The 19,445-nt window shown below is 45.9% G+C and overlaps 1 protein-coding gene across 1 annotated transcript in view, besides 5 other annotated features; it reads left to right on the top strand.

The window, feature by feature from the left end:
* The window catches only part of ADARB2 (adenosine deaminase RNA specific B2 (inactive)), a 560,213-nt gene that overhangs the window by 416,962 nt on the left and 123,806 nt on the right, over positions 1 to 19,445 (top strand). The window lies entirely within an intron of this gene.
* Positions 7,186 to 7,830: an enhancer, noted in NCBI's record as "H3K27ac-H3K4me1 hESC enhancer chr10:1354929-1355573 (GRCh37/hg19 assembly coordinates)". NCBI's record gives its function as "activates a minimal SCP1, AML or CMV promoter by ChIP-STARR-seq in primed H9 embryonic stem cells {active_cell/tissue: H9 hESC(primed)}" and the evidence as "EXISTENCE:reporter gene assay evidence [ECO:0000049][PMID:30033119]".
* Positions 7,831 to 8,474: an enhancer, noted in NCBI's record as "H3K27ac-H3K4me1 hESC enhancer chr10:1354285-1354928 (GRCh37/hg19 assembly coordinates)". NCBI's record gives its function as "activates a minimal SCP1, AML or CMV promoter by ChIP-STARR-seq in primed H9 embryonic stem cells {active_cell/tissue: H9 hESC(primed)}" and the evidence as "EXISTENCE:reporter gene assay evidence [ECO:0000049][PMID:30033119]".
* Positions 9,120 to 9,763: an enhancer, noted in NCBI's record as "NANOG-H3K27ac-H3K4me1 hESC enhancer chr10:1352996-1353639 (GRCh37/hg19 assembly coordinates)". NCBI's record gives its function as "activates a minimal SCP1, AML or CMV promoter by ChIP-STARR-seq in naive H9 embryonic stem cells {active_cell/tissue: H9 hESC(naive)}" and the evidence as "EXISTENCE:reporter gene assay evidence [ECO:0000049][PMID:30033119]".
* Positions 9,764 to 10,408: an enhancer, noted in NCBI's record as "OCT4-NANOG-H3K27ac-H3K4me1 hESC enhancer chr10:1352351-1352995 (GRCh37/hg19 assembly coordinates)". NCBI's record gives its function as "activates a minimal SCP1, AML or CMV promoter by ChIP-STARR-seq in naive H9 embryonic stem cells {active_cell/tissue: H9 hESC(naive)}" and the evidence as "EXISTENCE:reporter gene assay evidence [ECO:0000049][PMID:30033119]".
* Positions 10,409 to 11,052: an enhancer, noted in NCBI's record as "OCT4-NANOG-H3K27ac-H3K4me1 hESC enhancer chr10:1351707-1352350 (GRCh37/hg19 assembly coordinates)". NCBI's record gives its function as "activates a minimal SCP1, AML or CMV promoter by ChIP-STARR-seq in primed H9 embryonic stem cells {active_cell/tissue: H9 hESC(primed)}" and the evidence as "EXISTENCE:reporter gene assay evidence [ECO:0000049][PMID:30033119]".

Below are 19,445 nucleotides of genomic sequence, written 5' to 3'. Positions count from 1 at the left end.
AACTATCTGATACACCATGGTCCAATGGTTTTTCTTAGCCTGAGAGGGGGCACTTTGCCTTCACCAAGGAGATACCCTAAGACGTGAAATTGAGGTCTTGCCTGAGCTCAGATACTGGCCTCCTCAGTAAGCCCAACACCCCTAAAATCAAAGTGACATCTACATGGTGTGATTTGAAAGATGCTAGATACCAGACCCTAAATCTGGATGATCTAGTTGGACAAATCACTGCCTTCACCCTTTTAAAATTCACATACTTTTGGGGAGCCCTACTTTGCTATGTTAAAGACAATGATGTTTATTGAGACTCACTCCATTCTCCATAGCACATCATGGGACACCAGAATGGCAAGAAGCATCCTACCAGCCTCATGGGAGGGACTCAACTTCAATGCATGCTTTCCATTTGAATGGGAGTGGTTGGGCGGCTGGAGGCCACTGTGAGTCTGAGGATGGAGGCAAGATGTGAAGATGCTGGAATGAGGAATGGGAAGGGAGTAGTAAGAGGTGAGCTGAGGCCTGGTCTACATGAGCATAGCCCCAATGCTGTAGAGGGTGAGGATAGTGTTATGTGCACACACTGCTGGTGGGCTGCACCTTGCACAAAACAATTTGGCAATACACACCAAAAACTTTAGAAACGTTTACACATATTGGTCCAGTAGTCCCACTGCTGGGAATCCATACAAAGGAAATATTTATATTCATAAGGAAAAGACAACATGGCGACTCTCTAACTAGCCAGGCATTCAGCTACATCATTACATTTATACTGTCTAATTCCCAGAAGTCATGTTCCAGGAAGTAAGTACAAGCTAAGGTAGGTACTCGGACAGGGCACAGAATGCCTTGGCATTCAAGACAAAGAGGGAAACATGCATTGCATAGTCCCCAACACTCTGTAGAAGGAAAAATGCCAGCTATCCATTCGTCATGGAATAGACTCTTTTCAAGTTCTGATATAAGAGGAATTTGTGCAATGAGTTCTTATCAACCAAGATGTGATTATAATCATTTTGTTTGAGATCTTGCTAATCCATAGCTATTATCTGAATATGTCTTTTATTTTGCTTTTTATTTTGATTATGATGGAGGGTTTTTGATACAGAGAAAATTTTAATTTCCAGGTGATCTATCTGTCAGCTGTATGACTTATCCTTCTGCTTTTATGCTTTGAAAGATCTTCTCCACCCACCCCCAGGAAGTTTGGTAAACATTCATGTTTGCTCTTCTGTGCTATTTTTCTGTTTTATTCTACCTACCCATAATACATCTTGAGGTATGATCCACAGGCAAGATCATGCTTTCTTGTGACAGTCGGCCTAGAAACCTTTACTGAACTTACTTCCTCATTGTTTTGGGGTGTCCCTGCTCTTATACTATATGCTGTATCTCTGTGTGTAAGGAAGTCTGTTCCTAAGACACCAGCCCCATCCTATAGATCTGGCCTTATTCTTCACTCTGTTTTCGTCACTGTCACAATGTGGCATGGGTCAGCATCTGAGCAGGTCACATGTCCCACTTACTCTGAGCTCCTTGAATCTTTTTTTATCATCTCCAGCCAGGATTTTGGATGGAGTTATAAGCAGACGACAGAAATTAAGGCCGCTGGCCACATTCATAAGCCTTTGGAGCACGGTCCATCTACCCTGGGTCATTTTCTGCTGGAACAGATGCCTGTCTGGAGGCTGGCAGACCCTTTACCCACCACGGGAATTTGTGGGGTGTGATCTGAGAGATGCTTTCTCCAGTGGAGATGTGGGAACTAGATTATTCCAACTGTGGCCAACACAGTAACGAGAGATTCCCACACTCCCCGATATTCCTTCTGACAGGGACAAATTATACTTTGACAACACTTTAGAGGTCACAGAAGGCATTCCCAAACACAGTCTCGAGCAGCCTTTGTATCAATGCTGAGTTGAATGAGCAAGTATTGTTGCCCCACTTGTACACGAGGACAGCAGTGCCCAGAGAGATCAGGTGGAATCTGAACCCCAGCACTCTGCGATGATGTGTGCACTGAGAAATCCACAAAGGCATGGATGAATAATAAGTAAATGAATCCAAACCACTCCCCACACCAGGAGTGCAAATGGTACTGCTTGTTTCTAGCAAATGGTCTGGCTTTCCCACATCCCTCCGGCCCAGCCCATGATCTCTCTCACTCCTGCATGGTTCTCAAATTCTGCAGGGAGCTGTCAGTGTTTGAATTTAAAGGGAGCTTCTAGTATCTTATGGGCTGTAAGAGGTTGCAAAAATAAACAAATGGTACCAAATCATACCATGATGGGCTTTACCACGTTCCTGTTACAGGATCCGTCACCTGTGACTACACGCTTCTCTGTGGGTGGATTTTTTGCTGTTTTATTTGATTGATTGTGTTACTGTGAAACTAATAATAAGTAGCAGAAACTGACATAGATTTTACAGTGTCTAACAAAAGTATAGTATATTCTTCACCATCTTAAATTGCCCAGCTATGCAGAATGCAGGTTTATGAGTGGCCAACACTTCACACCCAGTCAGAGGAGACAGGGCCTTCTCCTAATGTTAGTGTTTTTATAGATCAGGGTCCAGCAGTTACCTGGCACTCACACCGGGGATTGAGGGAGGGTCGAGTAAAGGGGCACTGGTAGGGAGTAGGCAGGCTTTAGGGAAGTGACGGGATGGGTACCAAGCTCAAGACGGGAAGGCTGGGGTGCAGAGAGGCAGCCATGTGTCCAGCCACCCCTACAAGCTGGGCCCCCAATGGAGGGGCGTGGCCGGCCCACAGAGACCAGAGCCACACAAACTGACCCACCCCCCCCCAGGCCTACCCCTGCCTGTGCCCCCTGCTGATGGGCTTTTGGGGGACCCAGGGGCACGGAGCCCTCAGTACTGCCCAAGGAGTGAGAGAGGCAGATGGATGCACCAGCAACATCAGGGAATTGGACTTACCCCAAAAACATTGCCAACTCCTGCACCAAACCCAAACCAGAAGATAGCGCCTAAGAAAGGGATGTCTTCCCAGAAGTGATCTTGTTTATATAAGACTCTCCCAGAGCCATCAAAACTAAATCATGTTCACTTAAATGTTTAATAATTTCCCTTCACCAAAAATTAAAAAATTATGTGAAACCCTCAGTGTTCTAGAAAAATCCGTACAACAACTTACGAAGACAATCGACTATGCCTGTCAGGCTCGTGGAGATTATGGGATGTTTTGTAATTACACTTGGGATTATGCCTGATTATGTAAGTGATATTCAGTGATTAAGTCTCAGGGAACATTATCTGGTACAAGGTATAGAAGATACGGCATAATAATTATTTTTAAATTATGTCTGCCTGCCTCCATTCATTTTTTTCTAATATAAGTAAGACTTTAAGCACAAGTGAGGGAACTAAAAAACATAAAAATCGGCTAAAAGTGAAGCAGAGCAAGGCTGTCAGCAAAAACATACAGGAAGGGAGGGGCCTACGCCACAGCCTTTCTAAAAATGGAATTATTTTATTTTGCCACGGCAGTGCCCATAAAAATGATTTTTCCTTCCAGCCTGAGCAGTGGCAGCTCAAGAGGAAATGGACCAGATCTTAGACCGGGGCTTTAACTGGGAGAAAAATGTCCAGGCTGCGTTTTGCATACAAGCATGCACAGACACACGCACACAAAACTGCAACCTTATGCCTCCGGAGTGAGGAGCTAAGCACATTACTCATTCGCGGAAAAACAATGGGAAAATCTATCATTTTAGTATTTCCTTCTCAGGGCAAAATTCAATGAAAATCTAGTTAAGTTTTAGCCAAATGGCATTTTCATTAATGCAAAATAAAGACTTTGAAAGCAGCCTTGTCACTTTATAGCCAGGCCAGTGCACATGGGGTGTGGGGAGGGCACAGCAATAGAGGGCCCTGCTTCTGCGAGATTCTCAGGGCTTTGTGCTGTTTTGTGATCTAATAAGTACTGCTCTGAATACATAAGATTTACGGTTGTACCATTTTTTAAACAATCCTATTCCGGGTAGGAGGAAAACCAATGACTCCCAGAATGACTGGGATTATTTTAGATCAAACCAAAAAGGGGACTCTGGAAAATAATGAGGCCAGCACAGGGCATGCACCGTGGCCGACACTGCCATCAGCACCTTGCACGTTGCCACTCACAGGAGTCCTGCAGCAACCCCACAAGGCAAGGGCTGCGACAAGGCCACGTTATGGGTGAGGAAGCTGGGTGAGGCGAGCCTGGACTCAGGGAAGCCGCCATCACCACGGCAGAGCAGGGCCCAAGCCCAGCAGCCTGGCACCATCCACTCCCTTCCCTGCTGTGTGACGCCGCCTGTCACAGGGATGTGGGAGCTGACTCGGAAGGGGAAATGAACTCGCTTCAAAAATTAAACGGCAAGTGGGAGCATCTCTGCTGCCCCATCTGAGCAAGAAGGAAATTAAGAACTGCAAAGTTCACACTCAGTCTTTAAAAAAATTAAACTTTTAACATTAATTGCTCCTGAACATTTGTGAGTGCCCAAAATCCTGACATAAAAGCCTTAATTTCTATGCAAAGCAGATAGGATGATTGAGTTATAATTAAAATGGTAATTATACCCTTAATGCTCCATATTTGACTTTTCAAAAAACTGTTATGCTCCAAGAAAAGCTATTTAAAGATCAGAGGAAAATGTTTGAAAATGAATGTATTCAAGACATTTTAAATCTTTTAAAATCCAGTTATTGATTTTTACATGCTTTCAAGTGTAGTCTAAAACATTTTCTTCATTTATTTTGGTCGATGGAAATAATAAAAAATCATTGGAACGTGAAAAGCTTAAATGAAGGCAATATTCTGGAGGCTGATATTTAACGTGGTAAATATTTGAGATGCTGGGGCATAGGGAAGGGGCGTCTTCACCTGCATAGGGGCCCCTCAAAGCCCCTCCCTGGGAGGCCAGGGTAGGGCCCATTGTGGGAGCAACCACGGCACCTCCCTTCCTGGCTTCCGAGGAGCCCCTCTGAGCTTGAGCCCTACAAATATGACATTTCCTTTGATCCCTCATTGACTGTTTAGAATTAAAAAAGAACACCTAAAGCTATAAATCAAATGTCAGGTGCAGCAGTCTAGTGGAACCATATCAATATTTCATGATGTATGGCTTGCTGGGAGGCTTGGAAACATCAGCCATGCCAAACGCCACGCTCAGGACGCTTTGCGCTCACTCAGCCGTGCTGGGTGCCCCAGCAGCAATCAATGAAGGCGGAAACCTTGGAAGCCATGTGCGCTGGCTGGGGCTGATGCAGAGGCCCAGGAGCCCCTGCAGACCCTCACCCTGTCACCTGCAGCACCTGGTGCCTGGCTCGGCTCTTCCGGAGCTGCCTCCTGATCTCTCCCTGCAAGCCCCCACCCCGCTGAGGGGAAGAAGAGTCTGCACCAACTCAAATCATCCCTGGCCTCCCCTCCTGACCACTTTCCCAAACTCCCAGAGAGACTCGGTGGGGAGAGGAACTCAGGGCTCCCTGCCCAGGACCCCTTAACTGTACGCTACTTCGTCATGTTGGAACCTCGGGGCGGCTTCTCTCCGTGAGAAGGGTGATGATCAGGAAGGGGTGGAGAGTGCGGCTGACACCCTCTGCGTGAACTTCCCTGTTCCCATTAGGATAATAAAATAAATTCTGGGGAATTTTGCACCAACAGTGAAATATCTAAGGCCAGACAGGGCCTTGAGTTCACTCTGAACCCCACAGTGTTCAGAGCAGCCCAGGTGCAGGCATCCGAGGCCATGTTCCTCCTGGAGAGCCGCTGAAGCTTTCAGACATCCGGGAGCACTTTTGTTGCTTCTGTTTGGGTCGTGTCTAACAGAGATGCTCTCAGGGGCCCCTCTCCCGTCAGGTGGTTGGCAGACTATCATCACATCTTGGGCACCTCAGACTCAGCTCTGCACCTTCGCATGCCGTATTTGAGACCCTCCTGCGAAACCCTAAGCTCAGGTCTGTCACGTGGGTCAGAAGCGGCCGGAAGGCCAGGGCAAGTGTGGGAAGAGGTCTCCCTGGAGGCCGGGCAGTGGGGAGGATGGAGGGGCACTGGCCGTGGAAGGGCCGATGTGGGAAGGAAGAGGTGGACCAGGAGGAGGAGGAGGAGGAGGAGGAAGGACTGGCTGCAGGGGCAGACCAGGGAGGGCAGGGCCCGTCTGCTGACTTAGGGCCCCCAGCTATAGTCTGTCTGGCTTTGCTTCTCATAAGGGACTTCCTAGGAGGACGGGGCAAGTAGAGTCCAGCTGTGGGCAGGGCTGGTGACCTGCGAGGGGAGATGTCCTTACTGAAAGGGAGGCGGCTGCAGAGAAACCTCAGCTCTGCTGGGGAGCAGGTGTTGATGGTTGGCAGCTCTCCTCTTGGTGGTTTTCAAAATGATTATGATGGTTCCTAGAGCAATGGGAAGACAGAGTTCAAAATAAGAATCCAGAATGTGAGATTCCTAAGTGAGTAGGTCCTAAGGCCAGGGCCGATGTCTCCGAGCCTCAGGTCCACAGGGCTCCTGAGCTGTGGCACGGGCTGTGTGGCTTCCACAACTGCCTCTCCTTCCTCAAGAGTGGAGGCTGGAGATTGCCCTGCAGAATGTTCCAAGTGACTGGTTTTCAGACATAGCGAGTTTCAGAAATATTACTAGTTAGCAAAAGACATGGTGTGGGTGTTTGGCATTGCCAGCTGGCTGCAGGAGGACGCTGGGAGGCAGGACCCACAGCCACAGGAATTTGGGAGTCCATACAACCTCAGAAGGAAGGTTGATGCAAGCATGTTTCTGTGAAACCTCTGCACAATGGAAGTTTGCACTGTGCAAGCAAGGCCCCTCGATTAACTCGGATGGGTGTGCAGGTGTCATCTCTGTGGTGTGTGGGGCCACTGTCGTTCTCCCACCCTCCCTCTAACCAAGGGCAGGAAACCATCTTGGCTGGGCAGAGGTAACCCTGTGCCCTGTTTTAGTTGTGTTTCCCCTGTTATCCCAGGAGGTGGTGCCTCACAGTGGCTGGCTCTGCTGTGGAAGCATTGGTGCTTTCTGTGAGCAGGGACTCTTGTCACTACAATTGGCCCACACTTGAAAGGGACAGTCGCTCGTGAATGGCAGAGACACATTTTGGAATGGGCAGTCCCAGTTCCACCACTTAGTTCCCAGTGCCTGGCACTCAGTGAGGCCTCATGAACATTCTGCCATCTGTCATCCACTGTGGGGACCCCCTGGCAGGCAGCAGGACACCCCTGGCTGTGGAAGGCCCAAGGAGTGGCGATGGGGGACAGGTGGAAGGGGCATCTTTCAGAAGTTCAGGCCACAGCTCTGAGTCACTTCAGAGGCACTCAGGGCCCATCCCCCTTCACCCTTCTCCCCAAAGCTGTCCCCCAATGGGCCCTCCCCCACACAGATAAGACCCTGAGACCCTGGACTCACCTGGGCACTCCCACCCCACTCCACGGCTGGTTCCTGGCTCTCACCAGGCCTTCAGCAGATGCTTGTTGAGGAATGGATGAACGGCCCCAACTGTATCATTGGATGTAAAGGCCGAAGAATTCCAAATGACGTTCTGGCCTCTGGTCAGGTGAAATGGTGAGAAAACCCCAAGATCACATCTTCCCACCCCTCTCCTGCCGCCCTCTTGTGTCCACTCCATCCCCCACCATCTATAAAAAGATGGCGAAACACACAAAATGGAAGACACAAAAGCTCAGTGCAGCAGTGGCTGTGCCCAGCCTCATGGGCAGAGGGGTCACAGGCACAGGCATCTGGAACAGAGCACTGCATGGCAGCTGTGTGCAGCATGGCAGTGACACCTCCGCAGAGGAAAGATAGGCAGGAAAGGAAGGCCAGGTTTGGACCCTGGTTCCCACCTGCCCATGCGGGTTGGGCAGGTGCCTCACCTCCCTGCGTCTTTTTCCTCCCCTCTAAATGGGAAACGTGGCAGCGCCTACCTCAAAGGGTTACTGTGACAGCCAAAGGGAGATGTGCATGCTTATCACCGCACCTGGAGTGAAATTATAAACAACTGGTAAACTTGGCTCTCTTCACAATCACTCCAGAAATGAGAAATCAGGAGAGACGTCCTGGAGACAGGGAACTTCAGGTGGTCTTTGAAATCTGTTCAGTGTTGAAGCCAAAATGTGATGAAGTGAAGAGAAACTCACATTCAGGCCACAGCAGAATAACTGAACCTGCTGCATCAGCCTCAGAGCCAGCCTGGGGCCTGCCGGGGGCTCACTCTGACCTGGAGGTGGCCACAGGAGCTGCTGGAAGAAGGTATGGCTGTTGCCCTTTCTTCCAGAAAGTGCATCCCCCACACCCTGGTGGAAGCTGCATCCCCCACTGCATCTCTGGTGCAGGCCAGCCAGCACCCACCAAGGTTCGCATGCTCCAAGGAGAGGGAGAAGCAAGAGTCAGTGAAACTTGCCGCCTGCAAATCCAGGACACTGCAAGCCAGAAAGTTATTTTTCTGTTCCATTTCACCTCCAAGCTGAATTATTGATTTTAATACTTTATTTTCACATGAGTTTATTTGAGCGACAGATGCTACTCCGGTAGTGCTCGTGAAGCAGAAATGAGACTCTGGTAATTAAAGATTCCATCCTGAGTCCGCAGGTACCAGGAGGATTAGGCTGCTCACTTCAGTGAGTACAGACTCTCAGGGATTAGGACACAGACTCAATCATTCCTTCCACTTTCCTAAATTACACTCACATTCTCCGGGAGGCTTAAGATCCAGCCCATTGGCTCCAGAAAGAGCTTCATTTAACTAAGCTTCCATCATCATAGGGCGGAGATGGTAGCTCGGGTGCCAGCTTGAGGAACAAGCATCCAGGTAGCAGTGACAGGGGTCCCAGTGGGAGACAGAAGAAGCAAGGTCTTTGCTGGAACCCAGGGCTGACAGAGCTGAGGGGAGGGTTGAGGAGCTTTGCAGGCTTTCTCCTCACTCAGGGTCTTCATCTGTGTGGTGGGGTCTCTATGGAGCAGGCAGGGGGACACTCTAGGCGCCTTGGCCAGGTCTTCACCTATCCTCTGAGTTCAGAGTATCTGAACATGGAAGATGCAGGTGTACTCAGATATTAAACAACAACGTCAGGTGTCTTTTTTTTTCATTTCCCGGAAGAACCCACTAAGCATTTATTAGAGATGTTTGGGGAGCATCTGAAGGATCGCACCTGTTACCAAACCAGGAGACGCTTCACATGGGCCCCAGCCATTCCCTGCTCCTGGAAAGCCTTTTGTTAGGCTTTTTCCTCCCCAAAAGCCTAAACAAAACTGACACCAGAAACAAAAGTAATGCCATCAGCAGCACCACAAGTGCCTGGTGTGGGCACTCAGTCATGTGTGGCAGGGGACAGGACCGGCACCAGCATGGAGCTGGTGTGCCCACCATTCCCCATGGAAGGAGAAATGAGGTTTGCTTGAGATCACACAACTGTTTAAAGGCAACACTTGGATCTATAGTCAGGTCTCCTGAGTGACCCCCATGAGCATTGGTCTTCACGGCTCCATGCTGCCCAGCTCTGGAGCTACTGAGGCTGTCTCAGTCTTCATTTGCCTATAGCCAGATCTAGATTGTGGCAGACCAGTGGCAACATCATGTGAATAATCGAAATCCACATTTACTCCAAAACACACATTTTAGCTATTAAGTTGAAATATACGTAATTTGCATTCTTGTAGGTCAAAATATTGTCACTAAGTTCAACCTTTAACCTCAACTTATTTTTAATCCAAGTTACTGAAAACTACTCCTTGTCTTTACAATCCTGTCTCCTCTTTCCCTGCCTCTTCCTTGGGGAAACGAGAGTCAGAGTGAAACGGGACAGGAGATTGAGGCGCCAGGGGCCTGGAGAGCCTCCTCCCCTCTCCACTTATCCCCGTCCCAACCACAGAGATCCCCTCCAGAGGTACCGTGAGGACCTAGTCCCGACTGGAGCGCAGCAGCCTCCACTGTCACCCCATCACTACCCCCATGCCTGCAACAGTGCCCAGCACCGAGTGGGCTCTCCAGAAATGTCTGCTCAGTAAATTAGTAAAATAATTTGTGTTTGAGGACTTTCACTTCTGGGGCCTCCAGGGCTTAGAAAGTAGGTTTAGATGGATTCTTATCTCTTCTTCCTCTGTTTTTCTTTCATCCAAGGAATGTTATTCAGAGTCAATGAAGGAATGTTATTCAGAGTCAATGAAGGAATGTTATTCAGAGTCAATGAAGTTTTTCTCATTGATTCCAACATCTTCGTAGGTTAGCAGGAGTGCTGAGCCTCAGTGCCAGCTGCTTCTCCAGGACTGGTGAATATTTTAACATCTGGGAGTGTCTCTCAGTGCCAGGCATGGTGGAAGTCAGAAGTTGTACCTCTGCGTAAATGCAAACACCTTCAGACTGCTCACTCAGTGTGACAGCAGCACCTGGCACAGTGCTCGGTCCAAAATAGGCCCCATTCAACATCTGATGAGTGACTTAATAAACAAAGCAGCAGGAAATCATAGAGACTTTGGTGAAATCAAGCACTGAGAAGCAGATGAAATTGGAGAATGAAGGATAGAAGTTAAAGGAAACACATGAAGACCCAGAGAGCATGGAAACAAAGGATGAAATGAAACTGGAATCTCAGGGATGGAAGACGCTGAAGACGGAGATTCCAGGTGGAATGATGCGGCCCCAGGTGTGCCCGCAGGTGGCAGTCCACACAGCTGCAGAGGCTGGGAACTGAAGGGAATCTCAGTAATGTCCTGAATTAAAATAGGGGCCGGGAGAGCAGCAAATGGGAAGTGGAGAGGTTGCAGTGCTTCATGAGGGAGATGGGCCACACCCCAGAGAGCCCCTCCCTCCCATCAAAATCCAGGGCTGACTTCTCCAGCCCCACCAGCCTGGATTCTAGGATCTGAAGACCAGAGCCTAGTGGCTCATCCTGCCTTGCCAGGCCCTGAACCAGGGAGGCTTGTGCTTAGGGGAAATGTTAACATGTAATTATGCTGAAATTTCTGTTGTTGGAATGATAATAATCCGTCCTGGCACATTTCACAAAACTTTTCAAATATTAAACCTAAGCCAGAAACAAACATCCCAGTGGTAGCCACCGGACTTCCCAGGACCACTCACAGGTCTTGCAGAATCCCCAACCTAGGAGCCAGCCCTGGCCCACTAGACAGGCCTCGTGTATCCCAGGGAGCGCTGCCAGTGCATGCCCGGCTGAAAAGGCACTTTCCACAATGACAAGGCCACAGTCGGCATGGAGGATTTTGGTCTATAGGCATGGGGTGAGATTCAGACCAAAGAGTCAGGATCCGCTGAGAGGCAATCTTACACTGTCCAGCAATGGCACATTTCTTTCTGGATGAAGTTTGGTGCTCAATACCCAACATGACAGGCAATGTTTATCAGTCACCCTCTGGGTATGGAGTCTTGAACCCCCTAGAGGCAACCTCAGACATGTCCCAAATATCATTCCTTCAAGTGCAAATTCCTACAACCCAACACACAAAAATGTCTGTGTGGTTTGCTGTCAGAGGCATGGACTTCGGTTAGTCTAAATATCCATCAGTTAAAGAACTGAATTTTATAAAAAAATCATTGCCTTTTTGGGGACTTTTCCCCTGTAGGAAATCTTAGGAATCTGATGGAATTTGATCATTGCCAAAATCAACTTTATAAGAAACTGCATCTGTTTATCCTAGAAAACCACTTCTCCAACACTTTTCCAGCTGAGAAAATAAAGTGCTAGAGAAAAATGTGCATTCCATGCTCTATTTATCCTGTCCTTTCTAAAAAAAATAGAAATAGAGGTAGTCTGTGTTAAAGAGCTCCCTGACCTGCTAATCACCCACAAAAATAAATTATATGATGGAAAATTAGCTACCTGGAAATGCAAATTAAAGCAATGCTAAGATACCAGTACCAAAACCCAGAACACTGACACCACCAAATGCCAGTGAGGGTGTGGAGCAACAGGAAATTCAGTCGCTGCTGGTGGGAGTGCAAAATGGTGCACCCACTGTGGAAGACAGCGTGGCATTTTCTTATGAAACTAAACATACTCTGACCATATGGTTCAGCAATCACACTCCTTGGTCTTTACCCAGATGAATTGAAAATTTGTGTCCACACAGAAAAAAGGCACATGGATGTTTATAGTAGCTTTATCATAGTTGCCAAAACATGAAAGCAACGAAAACGCCCTTCAGTAAGCCAGTGGATACACAAACTCTCATCCATCCAGAAAATGGAATATGAGTCAGCATTACAAAGAAGGAAGACAGGGAGGAAACATAAATGCATATTGCTGAGTGAAATAAGTCCATCCAGAAAGCATACATGTTGTATGATTCCATCTACAGGACATTCTGGAAAAGGCAAGACCATGGAGACAGTGGAATGATCAGGGGCTACCAGGAGCTGGAGGAAGGAGGGCTGAGTAGGTGGAGCACAGGGGATTTTAGGGCAGGGAAACTGCTCTGTGTGTACTACAGTGGGAGATACTTTTTTTTTTTAATTTATTTTTTTTATTATACTTTAAGTTTTAGGGTACATGTGCACATTGTGCAGGTTAGTTACATATGTATACATGTGCCATGCTGGTGTGCTGCACCCACTAACTTGTCATCTAGCATTAGGTATATCTCCCAATGCTATCCCTCCCCCCTCCCCCCACCCCACGACAGTCCCCAGAGTGTGATGTTCCCCTTCCTGTGTCCATGTGATCTCATTGTTCAATTCCCACCTATGAGTGAGAATATGCGGTGTTTGGTTTTTTGTTCTTGCGATAGTTTACTGAGAATGATGATTTCCAATTTCATCCATGTCCCTACAAAGGACATGAACTCGTCATTTTTCATGGCTGCATAGTATTCCATGGTATATATGTGCCACATTTTCTTAATCCAGTCTATCATTATTGGACATTTGGGTTGGTTCCAAGTCTTTGCTATTGTGAATAATGCCACAATAAACATACGTGTGCAGGTGTCTTTATAGCAGCATGATTTATAGTCCTTTGGGTATATACCCAGTAATGGGATGGCTGGGTCAAATGGTATTTCTAGTTCTAGATCCCTGAGGAATGACCACACTGACTTCCACAATGGTTGAACTAGTTTACAGTCCCACCAACAGTGTAAAAGTGTTCCTATTTCTCCACATCCTCTCCAGCACCTGTTGTTTCCTGACTTTTTAATGATTGCCATTCTAACTGGTGTGAGATGGTATCTCATTGTGGCTTTGATTTGCATTTCTCTGATAGCCAGTGATGGTGAGCATTTTTTCATGTGTTTTTTGGCTGCATAAATGTCTTCTTTTGAGAAGTGTTTGTTCATATCCTTCGCCCACTTTTTGAATGGGGTTGTTTTTTTCTTGTAAATTTGTTTGAGTTCATTGTAGATTCTGGATATTAGCCCTTTGTCAGATGCGTAGGTTGCGAAAATTTTCTCCCATTTTGTAGGTTGCCTGTTCACTCTGATGGTAGTTTCTTTTGCTGTGCAGAAGCTCTTTAGTTTAATTAGATCCCATTTGTCAATTTTGTCTTTTGTTGCCATTGCTTTTGGTGTTTTAGACATGAAGTCCTTGCCCATGCCTATGTCCTGAATGGTAATGCCTAGGTTTTCTTCTAGGGTTTTTATGGTTTTAGGTCTAACGTTTAAGTCTTTAATCCATCTTGAATTGATTTTTGTATAAGGTGTAAGGAAGGGATCCAGTTTCAGCTTTCTACATATGGCTAGCTAGTTTTCCCAGCACCATTTATTAAATAGGGAATCCTTTCCCCATTGCCTGTTTTTGTCAGGTTTGTCAAAGATCAGATAGTTGTAGATATGCGGCGTTATTTCTGACGGCTCTGTTCTGTTCCATTGATCTATATCTCTGTTTTGGTACCAGTACCATGCTGTTTTGGTACCAGTACCATGCTGTTTTGGTTACTGTAGCTTTGTAGTATAGTTTGAAGTCAGGTAGTGTGATGCCTCCAGCTTTGTTCTTTTGGCTTAGGATTGACTTAGCGATGCGGGCTCTTTTTTGGTTCCATATGAACTTTAAAGTAGTTTTTTCCAATTCTGTGAAGACAGGCATTGGTAGCTTGATGGGGATGGCATTGAATCTGCAAATTACCTTGGGCAGTATGGCCATTTTCACGATATTGATTCTTCCTACCCATGAGCATGGAATGTTCTTCCATTTGTTTGTATCCTCTTTCATTTCCTTGAGCAGTGGTTTGTAGTTCTCCTTGAAGAGGTCCTTCACATCCCTTGTAAGTTGGATTCCTAGGTATTTTATTGTCTTTGAAGCAATTGTGAATGGGAGTTCACTCATGATTTGGCTCTCTGTTTGTCTGTTGTTGGTGTATAGGAATGCTTGTGATTTTTGTACATTGATTTTGTATCCTGAGACTTTGCTGAAGTTGCTTATCAGCTTAAGGAGATTTTGGGCTGAGACAATGGGGTTTTCTAGATATACAATCATGTCATCTGCAAACAGGGACAATTTGACTTCCTCTTTTCCTAATTGAATACCCTTTATTTCCTTCTCCTGCCTAATTGCACTGGCCAGAACTTCCAACACTATGTTGAATAGGAGTGGTGAGATAGGGCATCCCTCTCACTGTCTTGTGCCAGTTTTCAAAGGGAATGCTTCCAGTTTTTGCCCATTCAGTAGGATATTGGCTGTGGGTTTGTCATAGATAGCTCTTATTATTTTGAAATATGTCCCATCAATACCTAATTTATTGAGAGTTTTTAGCATGAAGGGTTGTTGAATTTTGTCAAAGGCCTTTTCTGCATCTATTGAGATAATCATGTGGTGTTTGTCTTTGGCTCTGTTTATATGCTGGATTACATTTATTGATTTTCGTATGTTGAACCAGCCTTGCATCCCAGGGATGAAGCCCACTTGATCATGGTGGATAAGCTTTTTGATGTGCTGCTGGATTCGGTTTGCCAGTATTTTATTGAGGATTTTTGCATCAATGTTCATCAAGGATATTGGTCTAAAATTCTCTTTTTTGGTTGTGTCTCTGCCAGGCTTTGGTATCAGAATGATGCTGGCCTCCTAAAATGAGTTAGGGAGGATTCTCTCTTTTTCTATTGATTGGAATAGTTTCAGAAGGAATGGTACCAGTTCCTCCTTGTACCTCTGGTAGAATTCGGCTGTGAATCCATCTGGTCCTGGACTCTTTTTGGTTGGTAAACTATTGATTATTGCCCCAATTTCAGATCCTGTTACTGGTCTATTCAGAGATTCAACTTCTTCCTGGTTTAGTCTTGGGAGGATGTATGTGTCGAGGAATTTATCCATTTCTTCTAGATTTTCTAGTTTATTTGCGTAGAGGTGTTTGTATTATTCTCTGATGGTAGTTTGTATTTCTGTGGGATCAGTGGTGATATCCCCTTTATCATTTTTTATTGCGTCTATTTGATTCTTCTCTCTTTTTTTCTTTATTAGTCTTGCTAGTGGTCTATCAATTTTGTTGATCCTTTCAAAAAACCAGCTCCTGGATTCATTAATTTTTTGAAGGGTTTTTTGTGTCTCTCTTTCCTTCAGTTCTGCTCTGATTTTAGTTATTTCTTGCCTTCTGCTAGCTTGTTATTTCTTGCCTTCTGCTAGCTTTTGAATGTGTTTGCTCTTGCTTTTCTAGTTCTTTTAATTGTGATGTTAGGGTGTCAATTTTGGATCTTTCCTGCTTTCTCTTGTGGGCATTTAGTGCTATAAATTTCCCTCTACACACTGCTTTGAATGCGTCCCAGAGATTCTGGTATGTTGGGTCTTTGTTCTCATTGGTTTCAAAGAACATCTTTATTTCTGCCTTCATTTCGTTATGTACCCAGTAGTCATTCAGGAGCAGGTTGTTCAGTTTCCATGTAGTTGAGCGGTTTTGAGTGAGATTCTTAATCCTGAGTTCTAGTTTGATTGCACTGTGGTCTGAGAGATAGTTTGTTATAATGTCTGTTCTTTTACATTTGCTGAGGAGAGCTTTACTTCCAAGTATGTGGTCAATTTTGGAATAGGTGTGGTGTGGTGCTGAAAAAAAATGTATATTCTGTTGATTTGGGGTGGAGAGTTCTGTAGATGTCTATTAGGTCTGCTTGTTGCAGAGCTGAGTTTAATTCCTGGGTATCCTTGTTGACTTTCTGTCTCCTTGATCTGTCTAATGTTGACAGTGGGGTGTTAAAGTCTCCCATTATTAATGTGTGGGAGTCTAAGTCTCTTTGTAGGTCACTCAGGACTTGCTTTATGAATCTGGGTGCTCCTGTATTGGGTGCATATATATTTAGGATAGTTAGCTCTTCTTGTTGAATTGATCCCTTTACCATTATGTAATGGCCTTCTTTGTCTCTTTTGATCTTTGTTGGTTTAAAGGCTGTTTTATCAGAGACTAGGATTGCAACCCTTGCCTTTTTTTGTTTTCCATTTGCTTGGTAGATCTTCCTCCATCCCTTTATTTTGAGCCTATGTGTGTCTCTGCACATGAGATGGGTTTCCTGAATACAGCACACTGATGGGTCTTGACTCTTTATCCAATTTGCCAGTCTGTGTCTTTTAATTGGAGCATTTAGTCCATTTACATTTAAAGTTAATAGTGTTATGTGTGAATTTGATCCTGTCATTATGATGTTAGCTGGTTATTTTGCTCATTAGTTGATGCAGTTTCTTCCTAGTCTCAATGGTCTTTACATTTTGGCATGATTTTGCAGTGGCTGGTACCGGTTGTTCCTTTCCATGTTTAGTGCTTCCTCCAGGAGCTCTTTTAGGGCAGGCCTGGTGGTGACAAAATCTCTCAGCATTTGCTTGTCTGTAAAGTATTTTATTTCTCCTTCACTTATGAAGCTTAGTTTGGCTGGATATGAAATTCTGGGTTGAAAATTCTTTTAAGAATGTTGAATATTGGTCCCCACTCTCTTCTGGCTTGTAGGGTTTCTGCCGAGAGATCAGCTGTTAGTCTGATGGGCTTCCCTTTGAGGGTAACCCGACCCTTCTCTCTGGCTGCCCTTAACATTTTTTCCTTCATTTCAACTTTGGTGAATCTGACAATTATGTGTCTTGGAGTTGCTCTTCTTGAGGAGTATCTTTGTGGCATTCTCTGTATTTCCCGAATCTGAACGTTGGCCTGCCTTGCTAGATTGGGGAAATTCTCCTGGATAATATCCTGCAGAGTGTTTTCCAACTTGGTTCCATTCTCCCCATCACTTTCAGGTACACCAATCAGATGTAGATTTGGTCTTTTCACATAGTCCCATATTTCTTGGAGGCTTTGCTCATTTCTTTTTATTCTTTTTTCTCTAAACTTTCCTTCTCGCTTCATTTCATTCATTTCATCTTCCATTGCTGATACCCTTTCTTCCAGTTGATCGCATCGGCTCCTGAGGCTTCTGCATTCTTCACGTAGTTCTCGAGCCTTGGTTTTCAGCTCTATCAGCTCCTTTAAGCACTTCTCTGTATTGGTTATTCTAGTTACAAATTCTTCTAAATTTTTTTCAAAGTTTTCAACTTCTTTGCCTTTGGTTTGAATGTCCTCCCGTAGCTCAGAGTAATTTGATCGTCTGAAGCCTTCTTCTCTCAGCTAGTCAAAGTCATTCTCCGTCCAGCTTTGTTCCGTTGCTGGTGAGGAGCTGTGTTCCTTTGGAGGAGGAGAGGCGCTCTGATTTTTAGAGTTTCCAGTTTTTCTGTTCTGTTTTTTCCCCATCTTTGTGGTTTTATCTACTTTTGGTCTTTGATGATGGTGATGTACAGATGGGTTTTTGGTGTGGATGTCCTTTCTGTTTGTTAGTTTTCCTTCTAACAGACAGGACCCTCAGCTGCAGGTCTGTTGGAGTACCCTGTAGTGTGAGGTGTCAGTGTGCCCCTGCTGGAGGGTGCCTCCCAGTTAGGCTGCTCAGGGGTCAGGGGTCAGGGACCCACTTGAGGAGGCAGTCTGCCCGTTCTCAGATCTCCAGCTGCATACTGGGAGAACCCCTGCTCTCTTCAAAGCTGTCAGACAGGGACATTTAAGTCTGCAGAGGTTACTGCTGTCTTTTTGTTTGTCTGTGCCCTGCCCCCAGAGGTGGAGCCTACAGAGGCACGCAGGCCTCCTTGAGCTGTGGTGGGCTCCACCCAGTTCGAGCTTCCCGGCTGCTTTGTTTACCTAAGCAAGCCTGGCCAATGGTGGGCGCCCCTCCCCCAGGCTCGCTGCCGCCTTGCAGTTTGATCTCAGACTGCTGTGCTAGCAATCAGCGAGACTCCGTGGGGTAGGACCCTCCGAGCCAGGTGTGGGATATAATCTCGTGGTGCGCCGTTTTTTAAGCCCGTCGGAAAAGCGCAGTATTCAGGTGGGAGTGACCGGATTTTCCAGGTGCCGTCCGTCACCCCTTTCTTTGATTAGGAAAGGGAACTCCCTGACCCCTTGCGCTTCCCAAGTGAGGCAATGCCTCGCCCTGCTTCGGCTCGCGCACGGTGTGCGCACCCACTGACCTGCACCCACTGTCTGGCACTCCCTAGTGAGATGAACCTGGTACCTCAGATGGAAATGCAGAAATCACCCGTCTTCTGCGTCGCTCAGGCTGGGAGCTGTAGACTGGAGCTGTTCCTATTCGGCCATCTTGGCTCCTCCCTAGATGGGAGATACATTTTATACATTTGTCAAACCCATGCAGTGCACAACACCAGAGTGAGCCCTCCTGTGAACCGTGGGCTCCAGGTGGTAGTGATGTGTCACTGTAAGGTCACCAATTGTGGGGACTTTGATAATAGAGGAGCAGGTGCATGTGTGGAGGCAGCAGGTACAGGGAACATCTCTGTAGCTTCTGCCCAGTTTTGCTTTGAACTTAAAACTGCTTTAAAATATAGTCTATTTGTTAAAAATTAGCTACTTGGCAGGATTATACCAGAGGTGTTAGCACAAAATTCAATGACAGGAAATAAACCACAAGAAATCCATAATGATTTCTCAGGGATGCCTGGTCTTTACTCTAAATCCTAAGCAGTCACCCTAGTATTTAATCAGCCAAATTAATGAACCCTGAAGAGGGAGGGAAGGAGGGAGGAATGGAGGGACAGAGAGAGAGAGAGAAGAGAGAAGCATCAAGAAAAGAAAGTTTTCTGTTTAAGGTTGATTTTCTTAACGGTTTTATATTGGGCATTGATTGATATTCAATATTTTGATGGGTTTCATTTTCAATAATGTATGTAAGCACTTCCATTTATAATCTATTTAGGTTCTAAAATTCACCTGTTCAAGCCTATCCCCATATCAAAGGCTGCTATCCCCCTCTGTTGGTGGTAACCAGAGTTGATGACTTTTGCTTGGCCACTTAATTTTTCTCATCTCTATGAACATTCAGCAGTTAAGTCACTTCTGTATTTTATTTTTAACGGAATTAAGTAAACATTTTATCTTGTTATCTTTAAAATTAGCACGCACAGAGTCCATAACCGTGTGGACCTGTTAAATCCCTGTGCCACGATTTTATCATCAGTACCATAACTGAAGAGACAAGAAAGCGTTCCGTA

The sequence above is a fragment of the Homo sapiens genome, chromosome 10, assembly GCF_000001405.40.
Source record: "Homo sapiens chromosome 10, GRCh38.p14 Primary Assembly".
Lineage (NCBI taxonomy): Eukaryota > Metazoa > Chordata > Mammalia > Primates > Hominidae > Homo > Homo sapiens.
This window is presented reverse-complemented; position numbering and strand designations above follow the sequence as displayed.